General features: G+C 36.3%; 1 long non-coding RNA gene across 1 annotated transcript in view; it reads left to right on the top strand.

The window, feature by feature from the left end:
• LOC124904565 (uncharacterized) overlaps positions 1-16,921 on the top strand; it is a 91,837-nt gene extending 74,916 nt beyond the window's left edge. The window contains exons 2-4 of the long non-coding RNA XR_007066966.1: positions 8,777-8,825; positions 8,942-13,578; positions 16,448-16,921. This is a non-coding gene — a long non-coding RNA (uncharacterized LOC124904565). The remainder of the gene's footprint in view (positions 1-8,776; positions 8,826-8,941; positions 13,579-16,447) is intronic.
• The last annotated feature ends 379 nt before the right edge of the window (positions 16,922-17,300 follow it).

The raw sequence follows: 17,300 nt of genomic DNA on the forward strand, positions 1-17,300 counted from the left end.
CCCCCGTCTCCAGAGAGGGAGCACAATGACTTTCTTACTTGCTTGCCCAGAAGGGGGACAAGAAGGGAGGAGAGCGGGATGGGGTATAAAAGCTGTCAGATGTAAAACATCAGAAGTAGCGTTAGTTCCATTAAAGTTCATGTTTGATATTTAGTTGATTACCAAAATGTGTAATAATTAAATAATTGTACTTATTTATGTAAGACTTTATGGTGCTCTAAGGGGCTTATAGCCTAAGGCTGGTAAGGGAGATTAAAGCTCTGCTGAATTCCTTGCTCAAGAGTGCCTTGAGTATTTTGAGAAATGAAATTAGTTCCTTGGTCACTATCAATAATGTTTACAACTTCAAAAGGAATAAGAAGTATCTGGTAATAACTTGTATTGTAGTTTGAGTATGTACAGATATAGGTGTGATTTTGATTTATATTTTTATTATCTGTGAGGACATTGCCATAGAATTTTACCCCAAAGGGATGACTTTGGTTACTGAATTGTGGTTGTTCTTTGACCAGATGAGCAGACCATTGGCAATGGCTCAAGAGCCTGGAAAAATATGTAGATGGAGATAATTGTGGGCTATGGCATATTCTAGTGCCAAAAATGGCTAAAGTTTGTTTGATTGTTCTGATCTTTGGGTATTGTCTTCGGGTGGGACATCTTTGTCAGAAATGGATATAACATTTGTTAGAAAAGGATGTACTATCAATAGATAGTAAATCTCTTCTGACTCCATTACACGTAATAGTGACACTGTGTTCTGTTCTATAAAGTACACAAACTACCTTTTCTGTTTAGTCGGTTGATCCCAAGAGGCTTTCCCGATGGTTGATGTGTCTAGCAGAGGGTCGACATACTCCAGTACCATCGCATCTGTTATGGGACTGGAAACAAACAAAGTGACTTCCTTCTGTAGGTGGAATATGCCAGAGGCTCTACTCTGTATCATTTTTATTCAGTAAGAAGGATTCTATGGCTGTGTTGGATCTGTAGGATGCTTTATCCATGCCCTAAGGCATGATAGGAAAATGAGTCCTAAGGCCCACCTTTGAGACAAGTTAGCATCATTTTCCAAAAGGTTCAATATTCAGCCTACAGTGGTTATACTGATGAAATATATCTGGTGGCCAAAGAAGACCGTTTTTTGGCACCAGAAGCCTATGAGCAACCTATAGCCAACATGTGTATTCCAGAGATTCCAGGATGCATGAGAGGAAGTTCTTGGGTCCTCTGGAGTGAAAAAGTGTCTGAGGTGTGATGAAGGTAGTCTCTCTCTCTCTCTTTTTTTTTTTTTTACATTTTGTAAAGACTGGACCTTTTGTTGTTGGAGACACCATTTAAAGCGGACCAATTTGAAGATAACTATAAAATGGATTTAAGTGAAATTTGTAAATGAAGAATTCATTGCTTCAAGAACCAAAAATGCCAAAAACATGTTGAGCTTGTTTCAAAATTGAGGGTTCTAATAGGGAAAAAGTTATTCCTTGATGGCAGTTTTTGACTGACCAAATAATGCCCAGAAATTTAAGTGAGGTGGTGGGACCTTGTACTATGTGTATGGTAATGGCTCATCCCTTTTTATCAGTTGCTTTGTGAATGTTTGTATCTTGACTAAGTGCACAGAATGAATCTGCTCAGAGAAGAATCTCACCAATGTACCATATCCATGATGTATCATTCCCATTGATGCCATCAATCTATCTTACTCAGGTAATCTTGGATAAAGGTGGATGTGATCGAGATCTTGCCTGCAAAGATTGTGTGATATGGGAAGATTGTGGGGATGCTATATGGGTATCCAGGTAAAAGGGACGTGTGTTGCATTGAAGGTAAAGGAAAACTGCTAAGCGGCTATTGAAATAGGCAAATATAAAATATATTATTCAAATCCATAGTAGTAGGTAATTTCAGTAATATTAGGTTTGGGGGCTTTAATCAGATAAATCATGGTATTAACAATGTGATAATCCAGTATTAGGTACCATTCCCTTTTACTAGGTGTTATCACTGGAAAATGTGGGCTATTAAATGTGGTACATTAAATGGGATAGTAGGTAAAATGGTGCCTTCCTTTTGTAGGTCTGAATGAAGAGTGGGTCTTGAATTATGGGCCTTGATTTATCTGGTCCTTGTTTTCTCTATGTCCAGACATGCTAATTAATTTCCCCAGTTTGTAAAACTGTGTCTGATGTTGAATAGTAGTACTCCCAAACTGCTAACCTGGGAGTTTATTTACTGCAATCAAATAAGGACAGTTTTCATATTTCAGCGTGTTCCACGTGACTGTTCTGTTCTAAAGGAGAATGAGAGTGGAAAGAAACAATAGGAAGCATAATACAATTCAGGGTAATAAGTGGAATAAATGAAAAAGTCAAATGAAATTAGTAACTTCTAGCACTTTGGGAGGCTGAGGTGGGCGGATCATGAGGTCAGGAGTTCGAGACCAGTTCGAGATGGTGAAACCCTGTCTCTACTAAAAATATAAAAATTAGCCGGGTGTGGTGGCACACACCTGTAGTACCAGCTACTCAGGAGGCTGAGGCAGAAGAATTGCTTGAACTGTGCTCACCGCGGAGGTTGCAGTGAGCTGAGATCGCCCCATTGCACTCTGGCCTGGGTGACAGAGCGAGACTCCATTTCAAAAAAAAAAAATTAGTAATTTATGAAGAGGCATATAAATTATGGCTTATTTAATTGTGCATGACTTTACTTGGCATTTTTAAGAAAAACACAGTGGTGAAACAATTGTAGGCTATCTTAACATAGTCTAGATCTTCCATAGCTTGGAGTCTTAGTGAAAGACACAATTGGAACCCCTTCAGGGTTCTAAATATTGTGATTACCTATGTCTATGGAGCAGTACTAACAATTAAGAAATGGCATAAGTAGCTTTAATATCTATCTCTTTGCTCTTTTATCGCCAATTAAATTTTTTTAAAACTTGTAATTTATGATTTTTTTATTCTAGTTTGCATATCATAAAGGGATCATATTGTTAATAAAGTATAAAATTTAATTGTCACTTTAAAAATCCTTGGTCGTCTTCATTGTGCTTAGTTCTAAATTCACAAAGATGAGATGTTTTACAGAGTTCCTCACGTTGATAAATATTTGTAATTACTTACTGTAAAAATATGAGGTCATATTGTCCTCATTTTGTCATGAGTTGTATTCTTAGGGAGATGAAAACACTTATTTTGGGTCCTACTGTGTATCAGGCATTGTGCAAGACATAAAAATGTTAAGCTTCAATGCCATAACACACCGTGATAAGATCAGAAAACTGGGGTTTCATGGAAGTCAATACTTAGGACAAAGACATGCAGCTAGTAAGTGGAGTAATAGGGCTTCGGACCCTAGGTTTGACTGATTCCAAATTACCTGTTCTTTCCTTTACAAAGTGCTGCCTCCACTGTCAGTGATGAATCATTGTTTTCATCACATTGCCAAAAGGTAGTAACTGAAGTTCAATTATAAGATATAATCCGTCAAAATGTTTGAAGTTTTTTTATTATAATTAATCATACTCTGAGTTATGTCAGGAGATGTATTAAAAATATAACCGAAGGATAGTCAGAAAAGAACCACATTGCCAAAGCAGTTGTCTCTGAATCAGAATCTATAGATTATAATCTTGTCTGTAACACTAGTTTCATGACTTTGTTCAACTTTTTAGAGCCCTCTGGGAATTTGGTTTCTAAAGTAACTTCCTGCCCTCAAAGTCTGATTTCTACAATTTACTATACATATTTATGATTACTGGGTGAGGTACACTTACGAGCTAGCTTGATTGAATATTTTTGAAGAATATTCAAGAACTACATTTTTAAAAATTTGTTCAGTGGGTTAATTCAGTAAGGACTATCTGCTTTTGCCCCAAGTGGAAGAGTAGTCCTAATCTAAAAGATACTTTCAACTAAGTTCTGGGGAATACTTTGCTTTTTCTCCCCATCTTTGTGTTTATCTTAGAATCTCTTGGTGGTCATATTATTAGATAAGGAAAAGCTGTGCTTTGGAAATAGCAGCGCCCCAGAAGGGTGGAGACCCAAAGCTTAGAGACAGGCTAGAAATGCCATGTTCTGAAATAGGGCAGATTTCAGATGAATGATAAATTGAATGGATGAAAAATAGCTCTTAGCCACTTTATTCCAATGAAATACCATGATAGAGTGATGAGTCATAAGAGTAGCTGAAAAAAATCGAATTGTCAAGATTAGTATTAATATACAGAAAAATAGATGTTTAGTAATATTTTTAAATATTAAGAGCACTTTAACATGTGCAATGTAAAGACAAGAGCTTTGATTAAAACTTTGATTTTATATACTTTTGTATATAAAATATTAATATTTTATATACAATAGAGGCTTTGCCAATTGTGTTTCTAAGGGCTGAAGAGATATAAAATTCTAATTCAAAAGCAACACTAATTTTGCCCATTTGGCATTGAAGTCTTTATGGTTGAGATTGATCAACCAGACTGTTGAAATGTTTAACAGCATTCCGTAAGGGCATTCAAGAAGTCTCATCATTCTTACTTTATATTAAATAATAGTTTATCTTACTGATTTTCAAAATAGATTTATCTTATCTGATCTTCAAAATAAATTTTTCTATTAGGTGGTGAGAGTGCTGACCAGCTAACGAGTATGCCAACTCCTTTAAAAACTATAACTGTTGTTAGCGTAAATAGATAAAATAATACTCTTGTTATTCATTCAATAGTAATTAATTCTCCAGTGTTTTTCTATTACTGATGCACAAATGAAAACATGCCCATGTTTGAATTGTGATAACACCCCCAAATTACTGACCTCCAATGATACTCTCCCAGAAACAATCTGTTGGCTTTCTTCATTTGTGCAAAATATAACACTTTCAAGGTTTAGATGAGAATACAAAAAAACGTTTTCTTTCTTATACTCTCTCTCCTTCACTTCCTATTCTCAATTCATAATCTTCCACTATAGGGGAAAGATGTGTGCAGTTTTGTGAGTTCATTTTATAAATCTACAAAATATCTATTGTCTGTCCTAGTTCTTTGTCTGCTGCTGTAACAGAATAACCACAGACTGGGTAATTGATAAAGAAAATACGTTTATTTGGTTCACAGTTCTGGAGGCTGGGAAGTCGTAGAACATGGAATCAACATCTGGTAAGGGTCTTCTTGCTGTGTTACTTCCCATGGAGGAAGGCAAGAAGGCAAGAATTATGTGCAAAAAGAGAAAACAGGATGGGCCATGCTCCCCATATAACAACCCACTTTCACAATAACTAACCCACTTTCACAATCATAGCATTAATCCATTCATGAGGGTGGAGCCCCCATAACCTAGTAACTTGATGGACTCACCTTTTAATATGGCAATTTAATTTCAACATGAGGTTCAGACGGGACAAATATTCAAACCACAACATTGTCTAAGCCTGGAGTGAGAAGATGATGAAACTACATAGATTGTATGTGATATTTTACTGGTCAGAATGGCTTAACTACCTGAATTTTATTTGTCACATTAAAACATTCTTTCATTGTCAAACTTTAAAATGACTGTCAAACTGACAGCTGAGTGAGTAAAGCAGTAATTCAACAGCAACTGCTTTTTAAGAAAGAGGTATAAAGTGTTGAATCTGGTAGTTTAGTCACTGTTCAAACTAGAATTTTAATTATGTAACCCTTATTTATTCAATATATCATCATTAATGTTAATCAGACATATTCATTGTTTGTCTCCTTCTAGAGGGGGAAACAAATCTAATTATATTTGATGTAATATTTACATATGTATCTAGATAAGACCAAATGAAGTGTTACTCCAATGAAATAGCAATGTTTCTGACATCCTGAGAATGAAATGACCCAATATGGAAAGACTTTTGATACATACAGTTGTTGTTGGTACATATTTGCATACTGATATTATGATAATTATAAGTAACTTTTATATTATTGTACTTTGAGAAGAATATGTTTATCTAAAGTTGTTTTGAGTTCAGAATTAAACATATTCTATTTCTATATTTGGATCAAACGAAAATCTTATATGTTTAGTAAGACAAAACTTAAGATGGAAGACTATACATAAAATGACATATATTAATATATATCTGTATTAAGAACATTAATAGTAGTATGCTCATAAAATAGTCAACTAAAATATAATTCAAAAACGAGTACTCTTATTATTGATATTGAGTGAAATGTTTTTTGTATAAAAACCATTTTTAAAAGTTAAAATTTAGAGTTTTCTAATGTCATCACTATTGCAACTATCATCAATAAAAGTGCTATTTTAAAATATACAGCAAATTATTATCATTACTTATAAAGATGTTCTCCCTTTCTACCTAAAAACATAACTGTTTTGAGGCTATAGAGATTGCATGGCATGTGCACATACACACTCAGACACACATTAAATACCTCAGCTTTAGGCTGAGCAGGGTGGCTCATGCCCATAATCCCAGCATTTTGGGAGACCAAGGCAGAAGATCACTGAAGCCAGATGTTCAAGAACACCCTGAACAACATAGTAAGACACAATTTCTACAAATTTTGTTTTTAATTTTTTGACTCATGCCTATAGTCCCAACTACTATGGAGGCTGAGGCAGGAGGATCTCTTGAGACTAGGATTTCAAGATTACAGTGAACTATGACTGCACTTCAGTCTGGGTGGCCAAGTAAGACTGTCTTTAAATTTAAAAACTTTATCAAGTAATATTTAAAATTTTCCCTACTTTATCCAGAATTCATATGTCACACATGATGCCAATCCTATCCACGTGTCTAATTGCATACTTGATAATATTCCAGCTCCCTGACCATTCTCACCCCATCTCTGACTCCACCCTATCTATCCATGAACCTTTACTTATTATCCATGTGTCCTTGGGAATGGAGGTAGAGAGATGATGCTTCAACAATTAAATTGCAGGTGCTACTAATTGGAAGACAGAAAAGAAAGAACAGTGAAAGTATGACTTTTTTTTCTGACAGGGACCTGAAACTGGGTCAAGCTATGGTAGCACTAGTATGGATAAAGAAGAAGGTGCTCATCTAAAAGTGTTTGCAGAGAGGGATTTGACAACAATGAATCTTACAGATAGGCTAAGATAGGAATGTTTCTATTACCGTAGAAATAACAACAAAATGGCCAACATGTGTTGGTACTTACTGTTCACCAAGTACCGTGCTAAACATCACGATCACACTATCTCATTCCAACCTCACAAAGTGCCTGGAAGATAATATCACACAGTGATTACTTGCATGAATTCAGGAATCAGATTATCTGGGTCCAATCCTAACTTTACTGCTTCTAACTATGCAAACTTGGGATATTGCTTAGTCTTTTTTTTCTTCAGTTTTCTCATCTATAAATATTTGGCCTACCTTAAACATTTATAATAAATATTAAATGATATACAGTGTGTCAATTGTTACAAATAAAAAATTCATTAACACACCAAAAATAATTGAGCATCAGTATGTATCATATAACATTCCCAGCACTTTAAGATGCTGTTAAAAAAGTAGAAACAGATTCCTGACCATGTCAATTACATCCAATGAGAGTAACATTTAATCTGCCAACTACAATTACTACTGTTATTATATAAGTTTTTCAGATGAGAATCCTGAGGATTGGTCTGAAGTACCAAAGCTTGTTTTCTGAACATAAGGAAGTTTGGGCAGGGTCATAGACTTTTGAATTCATCATTCTAGAAAATAGGAATGGATGTGAAGAAGAATTTGTGCCCAGTTAAGGTTGGAAACCATACACTTGCGATATATATCTAAAATGATATTCGTGATTATATAATTAGTCTACTCACTTAAGCCAAAAGCTTGGAGTTATCTTTGACTCCTATCTTTGTCTCACATTTTATATTTAATCAATCAACAAGTTCTATTGGTTATAACTTTCAAATGTGTCTGCACATTGACCACATTTTATAATCTACACAGCCACCAGCGTAATCTAAGTTTCTAATGCCTTCCCTCTATATTATCATAACAGCCTTTCCCTCTCAGTCTCCTACCGTGTTCTTCACACAGATGGAAGCCATAGTATATCACTCCTTCACTCCAGGGCCTCCAATGGCTCCCATTTCTTTCAGAAGAAAATAAAAATTCCCTGCTATGGCCTGCAAATCTCTCCACAAACTCTCATTCTTATTTTAGCTTTTATTGTTGTAGATCAACTTCATTTGCTCTGCAATTTAATCTTCTTCCAACATACCAAGCATACTTCTACCACAGAGCCTACCTACTGCCAGTGATGCGTTCCTTTAGACATCCTATGGCTCCATTCACTACTGCATTCAGCTGTGTGTTCAGATATCACTTAGCTTTCCTTCTTCACAATGCATGAATCGGTACACACACCATAGCTACTCTGTGCCTCTTAATATACTTTGATTTTTTTCATTTATTTCTGACTGGCACCTATTGATTTAGCTGTTTCTTTTTTTAATTGCCATCCATTCCTACTAGAATATAGACTCTATCACAGTAGGGCCTTGGCTTTCTTCACTGCCATTTCCTTGCCTTAACACAAGTGCAGCACCTGGATCTAGTAGCCACTCAATTAAACACACACACACACACACACACACACATACACACACATTTTAAATGAATGAGTGGATGAATGAATGAATAAATCAATGAATTTAAAATGAATGCAATTTTTTTTCAACAGTATTCAGCTTACTAAGTACGGAAACACAGAAGCTGATTAATCCACAACTTCTTTCTTTCTTTTTTTTTTCAGATTTATACAATAGAAGATTAAAATGCTTGAGGGTGGTGTTAAGATATTGGTAAGTTGACAAATGAATCATCAGCCGTCGGTTAATGAATGTGAAGAAAATGTTATTGACATTTCAGAGAAAAATATATGAGCCTCAATGAGTTTGAAAATGCTTTATCTTTGTAGTAAACTACTAAGAGTTTGATGACAAAGAGATTGCGCTCAGAAGAAGGTGATGAAAAAGTGTTTTAATATATGCTGTATGGAGTAGGAATGATTCATGCGGAGTTGATGCTCAAATTCTAAAACTCTTAAACTCTTAGCGGCAGGAGTCATCTTAAGGTAAAACCATAATTTCTATAAATGATATTTCTTTTTTTTGAGACGGAGTCTCGCTCTGTCGCCCAGGCTGGAGTGCAGTGGCGCGATCTCCGCTCACTGCAAACTCTGCCTCTCAGGTTCACGCCATTCTCCTGCCTCAGCCTCCCGAGTAGCTGGGACTACAGGCACCCACGACCACATCCGGCTAATTTTTTTTGTGTGTTTATTTTTAGTAGAGACGGGGTTTCACTGTGTTTGCCAGGATGGTCTCGATCTCCTGACCTCACGATCCGCCAGCCTCGGCCTCCCAAAGTGCTGGGATTACAGGCGTGAGCCACTGCACCCGGCCTTACATTAATCCAGATGTGTTCAGAAATGCCCTATTTTTGTTAATTGATAGGTATTAATTGTCTCACTGAATATAGGAAGAAATTAGTGACTTTAGTTTTATTAAGGACTCTTCATACTGTGATTGATTATAGACTTTTGGATTAGCTAAGACACTCCAGATCTGACTGCACGGTCTAGCTCTTGATGGCTAATATAGTATAGCCACCAGCTACATGCATCTGTTTAAATTTAGATTCATATTAATATTAATTATAATTAATGACATTAAAAATCCTATTCCTCAGTCTTACTAGCTACATTTTCAGTGCTCAAATGCCACCTGTGGTTAATGGCTACCATCCTGACAGTGCAGATACAAAAAGAAGTCTTTGTTCATCTCAGCAAATACTACTGGAGAGCCCTGGTCTAGTAGAGGATCACCACGGTACTGGGGTAGCCAGAAATACAGAATGCTTTATTTCTGTGACTGCATTCCTAAATCTAAATACCACGTTAGTTTGCTAATGTTGATATAACGGTAAGATTGTATCATGCATGACAAATAATCAACTGTCTCAAAAGATAGTAGTTGTATTCTTGTATGCATTAAGTTTTTAAAGATGAAGTATGAGTTTTAGGGAAATTGAAGACCATTGAAACCCACATGGTTAGATAGAGTTACCTGTAATCCAGTTAGTAATGAATTTCAAAAACTGTTGACTACATTCTTTCAATGACAAAAAAGAAGAGATACTTCTTGTACTTGAACATTGTATATTAAAAATGGGGCATAGAGGAATATGCTCTCTCTATCCTAATTTTAATTCAACAACTTTTTGACTTTTATCTTCAGAAAGATTTTTGTATTCAGAAATGAACTTAGGCATTAAAAATATATAGGGAATAGTATACTCAAAGATCCACTGTTATTGGATACAGTCTATGAACTCACTCACTACAAAGGGTGACAATGTTCAGCAGGAAGAGTCTGGGTGACAGGAGTATGAATTCATCTGTGTGTTATCACATTGAGTGCTTATGCAGATTATCCACTTTTATCTCAGTTTATGCTGGATTTCTGAACCTGGCATATACTTCGGGACTGAACAGATGGACTACTTGTATTTTTGACTGGTAAGGCAATTAGTAAACAATGGCCCAATAAGGGGAAAGCTCATAAGAAAAGGTAACATCACAGGAGGCTCAGTGACTAGAAAAGGTCGTCCAAAGAAAACCCTTGTAGAGAAAATCGTAAGACATAATTGAGGGTGTGACATCTACTTAGGACCCCACATTCCTTCATTGTGGAAATGGCTAATATCAATGGGAAGCAATCAATACTGCCTACAGACAGACTTACAAGCTAAATTTCATTAGGAAAGGCTTCACTGGCTGGTAAAAAAAAAATTAAATAATAGGATTATAAGTGATCATTCATAATATATTACTAGAATTTGTATTCTGTTCACGAGGAGTATGGGGAGGGTCGTCCAGGCCCATGGGCTATTGTTCTGTAAGACCTATAACTCTGTGTGCCATGAAGGGATGGGAGAGATGTGAAGAATGATTAATAAAAGTCCTAGAAGCACAAGCGAGGAAGCAGAAGTTTGAGACAGTAGTGAACAGCAGGAAGAACACTTGACATTTTTTCCTCCATCAATAGCTACTTAAGTAAGCATGAAGTTCTGGGTTTCACAAGCTTGCTATTTAGTGCTCCTGCAGGACCTGTTAAGAACACTAAAGACAAATTATACCTGAAAGGAACCCAGGGACCTGCACTGTCCAATATGGAGCCAATAGCCACATGTTACTAGAAAATAAGTGCCTGAAATGCGGGAAGTCCAAACTCAGATAGGCTCTAAGCATAAAATGCATATCAAAATGGAAAAAAAATAGTATGATAAAAGTATGCAAAATATCTCATTAATAACCTTATATTGATTACATGCTAATATGATCTTGTTTTGCCTATACAAATGTGTTGTATTCAGGGACTGATTCAATCAATGATTTTTTATTCCATTTTTTGTTTCATTGCCTGCCCTAATCTGACTCACTGCAATTGTCCTAATCTGACTCATTGCAAATTGTCCAGTTAATTGTATATTTACTGGTTGATGGAAAAGTGTCTAGTAGCTATTGCTATATAGTATGTTAAGCTCTAGCTAAAACCTAAAAGGTATTCTTTGCCTTTATACTAATGACATTGCTGTGGCAGGAAATAATGAAGTGAATGCTATTACATAAATATTTGGTATTAATCCATATACAAAATGTGAGTGCAGAATTCACCCCTAAAGTACAAATTTCTGCCCCCTAAATCGGAAACTCTGGAGGTGCTTAAAATTTGTGCATTAACAAGCTCTGTAGGTTTCACTGATGCCTGCTAACCTTTAAGAACCTCTGCTCTCACGGTATTTTAAATCTTTATTCTGGAGGAAGGATATCAACCTTTTAGAAATGGCTAGATAATTTATTATTGTTTTGCCAGAGATCTCTATCTCAGGAGAGTTTTTACTTAACAAAATTACATACAAGCCATCAAGAGAATGAGAGATGAAAGGAATAATATTCATAACCATAAGCTCTCCTAGGCCAGTTATGAGCCTTTTCCTTTAGGTGTCTATCACTGGGAACTGGAAGACTGAGATGCATGTCCACAGGAGGTGGGCTCAATGGCAATGTGAAAAATTTTAGAGCTATGATAATGGGAATATCTTGGGCTTCTTCATCAAATTCGCTTCCTCATCTAGTCTTGTGTCAGAGTTGTTTGTAGGTTGGGTAGGTATTATTGCCCCAATTTATGAAGGGTAAGATGTTTTATAACTCTGTTATCATGACTGAGTGTATTTCCAAATGAACAAGATATATTGAATTGTTTCTGAAAAATACCATTGTTTGCAAATTATTAAGTCAAAATAATGTAAAAGTATGGTGTGTTTTAAGTTGAATGATACTTGCTAATTGTGATTACATGTGTCCTGTTATTAGTATTACCCATACTCAAAGGTAAGGCATTATTTTTTGAGTTTACTATTCCCACAGATCACCTAAGGAATTTATTAAAATGTAGATTCCACCTTCGTAGACCTGAAGAGGGGTCTGAGTTTTTTCATAACAAGGTCCTAGGAGATGCCGAACCAGGGTCCCCGTTTTGAATAACCAAGCACCCCCACACCAGTCCTTTGGAATCCAAAGCTGCATTTTTTACCAAGACTAGTGGGTGAATCTTGGCACATTAAAGTTTGCAAAACACTGATACCATGATCTAAAGTGATTGAAATGTTTGACTGTTCTTTATTACCACCTGGGAAACTTGAATAAAATCTGATTCCTGGGTCCTATACTGGACAAAAAAAGTTAGAAATTGTGTGGTGCAACAGAACCTGGTAACAATGTATTTTCAGAACTTCCTGGGTAAGGAAGACAGAATAATGGTCCCCTGAAATTGTCCACATTCTAATCCTTGGAACCTGTGAATATGCTGCCTTTTGTGGCAAAAGTGACATTGCAGGTGTGATTAATGTTAAAAGTCTTGAAATGGGGGAGATTGTCCTGGGTAATTCAGGTGAATCCAATGTAATCACATGACTTTTACAAGTGAGAAATGTTTCCCAACTGAAGATGGAGACTTGATGACAGAAGAAGGGCCCGAGAGATACAACATCACAAGATCTCCACCCACTTACTGTTGCTGGCTTTAAAAATAGGTTAATGGGGACTCCAACCAAGGAATGAAGGTAACCTCTAAAAACTGGAAAAGTTAAGGAACTAGATTTTCTCCTACAGTCTCCAGAAAAGAATGCAGCTCTGTAGACACCCTGAATTTATCCCAGTGTGACTCATGTTAACCTTCCAGCCTACACAACACTGATAACACAAATATTATCATTTGTGTTTTTTCAAGGCACTATGCCTGTAGTAGTTTGTTATAGCAGCAATGGGAAATTAATATACCAGTGGATATTAACCCACAACCATTGCTCTAGGGGTCTATCAGAAGAAGCCAGCAGAAGGCTTTTGGAGTTTCTTATACATAATAAGGGTTTCTTGGGTCCAAGTGTCCTGCAGATTCCCAGAATTTCCTGACCAGCCCAGTCACTCAGATCTATGTCTGCCATACAGGGATCTCTGAAAGGTTGAGGAACCACTGTGTACCTGTAACTTTGAAAGTAAGTGCAATTTTGCTAATGTTTATAGATTATGCCCCTAATCATTTGTTTTCAAAGTGCTATATGGATAAAGGTGGGTGTTTTTGTTTGTTTTTTTGTCTGTTTATTTTATTTTGTTCTATTATTTTGGTGGGAGGAAAGGAGGAGGTGGGTGTTACAGAGTCAGAAAAAAAGTTGAAAATAAGAAGGCAGTAAATGTCCCAAATTTTTATAAGATTTTTGGCATCAGAGTCAATAAAACATTCCATGACATACAATATAATCCCAGGTTTTGAAGATCTAGCTGCCTTAGTAGTTACTGAGAATGACAGACATTTTCCTACCCTTCCATCTCAAGAGCTACCTTTCTCCTTCCATGTTGTCATTTCTGCTGTTGTTCACAGATGATCTTGCTCCCTTCAGAGACAGAGCAATGGTGGCTGTAGCCACAAGGCTTCTGTGTGCACAGAGGAGTTTCCCTGTGAGGCTCAAGGAGCCCTCAACTGTGATTACGGGGAATTTTTCCCAATGCAAATGCCTCTTCCATAGTCACAATGACAAAATAAAACATGTTAGGGCAACCACCCTTTCTGAGCTCTAGTGCATGCTAGTTGGAATGCGTATCAAATAAAAATCCCATTTAAATATATTTTATTCATTTTGCATCTTTAAGTAATTGGATTTATTGAATTATCAACGAAATAACTATAGCTTTCATCATCAGTCTAAGTTTCTATAGTCTAGTAAATTATAATGAGAATATTCAAATGGCTTTTAACAGCTGACATTAAAGAAACATTTCTAGGGATATCAGAATTCTAGAAAACACAAAATTTGGACACAGGCTAGGGTTCTATGATATGGTGGTTTATTTAGCTAATTTCAAGTATAAATTAAAGAGCTGCTTTTATTATAAAAAAGCAAATTTATGGAGCACAGACTCCTTCTAAAAGGTCTTGATTCAACAAAATATAAGGACTGAAAACTGCAATAGAGTTACCAGAGATGCCATTCTTTTAAAATTCAGCAACGTTCATTTCCATTGTGCTTAAAGTTTTTGTATTTCTCTTTTTAGCAACATAGGTTTGAAGACTATTTTACAATATTGTATAGAATATAAAACTTCAAAGTACATATTTCCTATGTAAAGTCACATGCTGTATAATGACATTTCAGTGGTCCCATAAGATTATAATGGAGCTGGAAAATTCCTATTGCCTCGTATTTACAATACTATATTTTTACTGTTATTTTAGAGTGTACCCCGACTTATTAAAAAAAATCAAACAAGTTAACTATAATACAGCCTCAGGCTGTCTTCACGAGGCATCCAGAAGAAGGTATTGTTATCATAGGAGATGACACCTCTATGCTTGTTATTGCCCCTGAATACCTTCCAGTGGGACAAGAGGTGGAGGTGGAAAACAGTGATATTGATGATCCTGACTTGTGCAGGCCTAGGCTAATGTATGTGTCTGTGTCTTAATTTTTACCAAAGTTTTAAAAGTTAAAAAATTGGGAAAAAGCTTATTGAATAAGGATATAAAGAATATGTTTTGTACAGCTCTGCGATATGTTTTAAACTACGTTATTACTAAAGAGTCAAAAAGCCTTAAAAACTTAAAAAATTATTAATTAAAAAAGTTACAGTATGCTAAGGTTAATTTATTATTGAAGAAAAAATTAACAAGTTTAGTATTGTCTGATTTGTAAATGCTCATAAAGTCTATAGTAGTGTATAGTAATATCCTAGGCCTTCACATACACTCCCCATTCACTCTGACTCACCCAGAGCAACTTCCAGTCCTGCAAGCTCCATTCATGGTAAGTGCACTGTACAGGTGTCCCATGGCTGGAAACCATCATTCTCAGCAAACTAACACAGGAACAGAAAACCAAACACCGCATGTTCTCACTCATAAATGGGAGTTGCACAATGAGAACGCATGGACACAAGGAGGGGAATATCACACACTGGGGCCTGTCGTGGGGTGGGGGGCTAGGGGAGGGATAGCATTAGAAGAAATACCTAATGTAGATGACGGGTTAATGGGTGCAGCAAACCACCATGGCACGTGTATACCTATGTAACAAACCTGCACGTTCTGCACATGTATCCCAGAACTTAAAGTATAATAAAGAAAGTAAAAAAAAAAATCTTTTATACTTTTTTTACTGCGCCTTTTCTATGTTTAGATAGACACATACTTACTGTTGTGTTATAACTGCCTACAGTATATAGTATAGTAACATGCTACACAGGTTTGTAGCCCAGGAGCAATAGGCTATACTATATAGGCTAGGTGTGTGGTAGACTATGATATCTAAATTTGTACACTCTATGATGTTCACACAATGATGGAATCACCTAACATTTATCAGGACGTATCCCTGGTGTTAAGCAACACATGATTTTGTTATACTAACAATTCTCTTAGAGATTATTGGGGAAAAATTTAATAAGATATTTCCTACGTTTGTAATAGACCATCAGTGGTGACGCTCTAACAAGCTGTCATGAAGATGGCCATACACAACAATTCTGCGTGTTTTCTTTTGCTATTTAAGAGTGCTCTGTTTGGGAACCCTGACTTATAAACCGTGGTTCTGGCCAGATGGAACCTCTGAAGATATGAAAGAAACAAAAAGAGAGTGGAAAGATGTTTTAATACAGAGTATAAAAAGAAGGGATTGTGTGGAAGCATAATAAAGGCAAGAAATAAAATTCCTTTAAAGCTGATATGAATTAGAAGGGAGATGACTGATTCAGAAAAGCAATGCAGATGCAGTGAAGCATTTCAGAGACATCTGAAATAAAATGAAAACAGGTGCCTCTAAACTGCTGTCTCTTTGTACTTTGACTCCTGCCCATCTATTTTCTACTTGGCAGCCAGGAAGATTCTGTGAGAATTCAAGTCGGACCCTGCCCCTCCGTGGACATCCCTCCAATGGCTCTCCGTCAAGCTAATGTCCTTCCTCTTGCTCTTGAAAGCCTCTCATGATCAGCCTTCCAGAAAACAGCCTCAATTCAACCCATCATTTGCTCCCCCAGGGCTTCTGCACCTGTTCTTCCTGCATTAAATGCTCTTTGAGTCTGTGTGAGTCATTCCTCTTCACTTCCTTTGACATGTATGAAATGTTTATATTTTCTGCCTTTTACTGGAAAACTTCACCCCCACGCCTACACCCCTTCTATTTCCCTTCTTTACTTTCTTTTTTTCTTTGTCTCTAGTTCTACTTACTTTCCAGCTTATGCTATTTATGACTGTCTATTTTTTCCTATACTGCAATGTAAGCTCCAGGAGAGCAATGAGATTGTCTGAAATATCAGCACCTGGAGCACTGATTGTATTTTAGGAATTCGATAAATACTTGCAGAATAAATGAGGTAGCAATGATCATGTCTTCTGAAGAAGAAATAATCATTAATATTCAGTACTCAGTAGGCATCAAATCTATGTTGAGTGCCTTCCATAGATAATCTCATTTACTCTTAATAACAAACCTATAATAGATGCTAATACCGGACCTTGCTTACAGAGGAAGTAATAGGATGATGGGGAGGGGTAAAATGTGGCATAGACATGGTTGTGGGGTAGTTGTGGTTATCAGAGTCTTCTGATACCAGTAGTTTTTTCTTTTAATTTGTGGTTATATAGGAATGATCTACAATGTCTGTTGGTTTATTATGTTAGAATATTATATAGTTGTTTGGGCAAAGCATCATGATAGAATTATACACA

Source organism: Homo sapiens, chromosome 1 (genome assembly GCF_000001405.40).
Source record: "Homo sapiens chromosome 1, GRCh38.p14 Primary Assembly".
NCBI classification, from domain to species: Eukaryota; Metazoa; Chordata; class Mammalia; order Primates; family Hominidae; genus Homo; species Homo sapiens.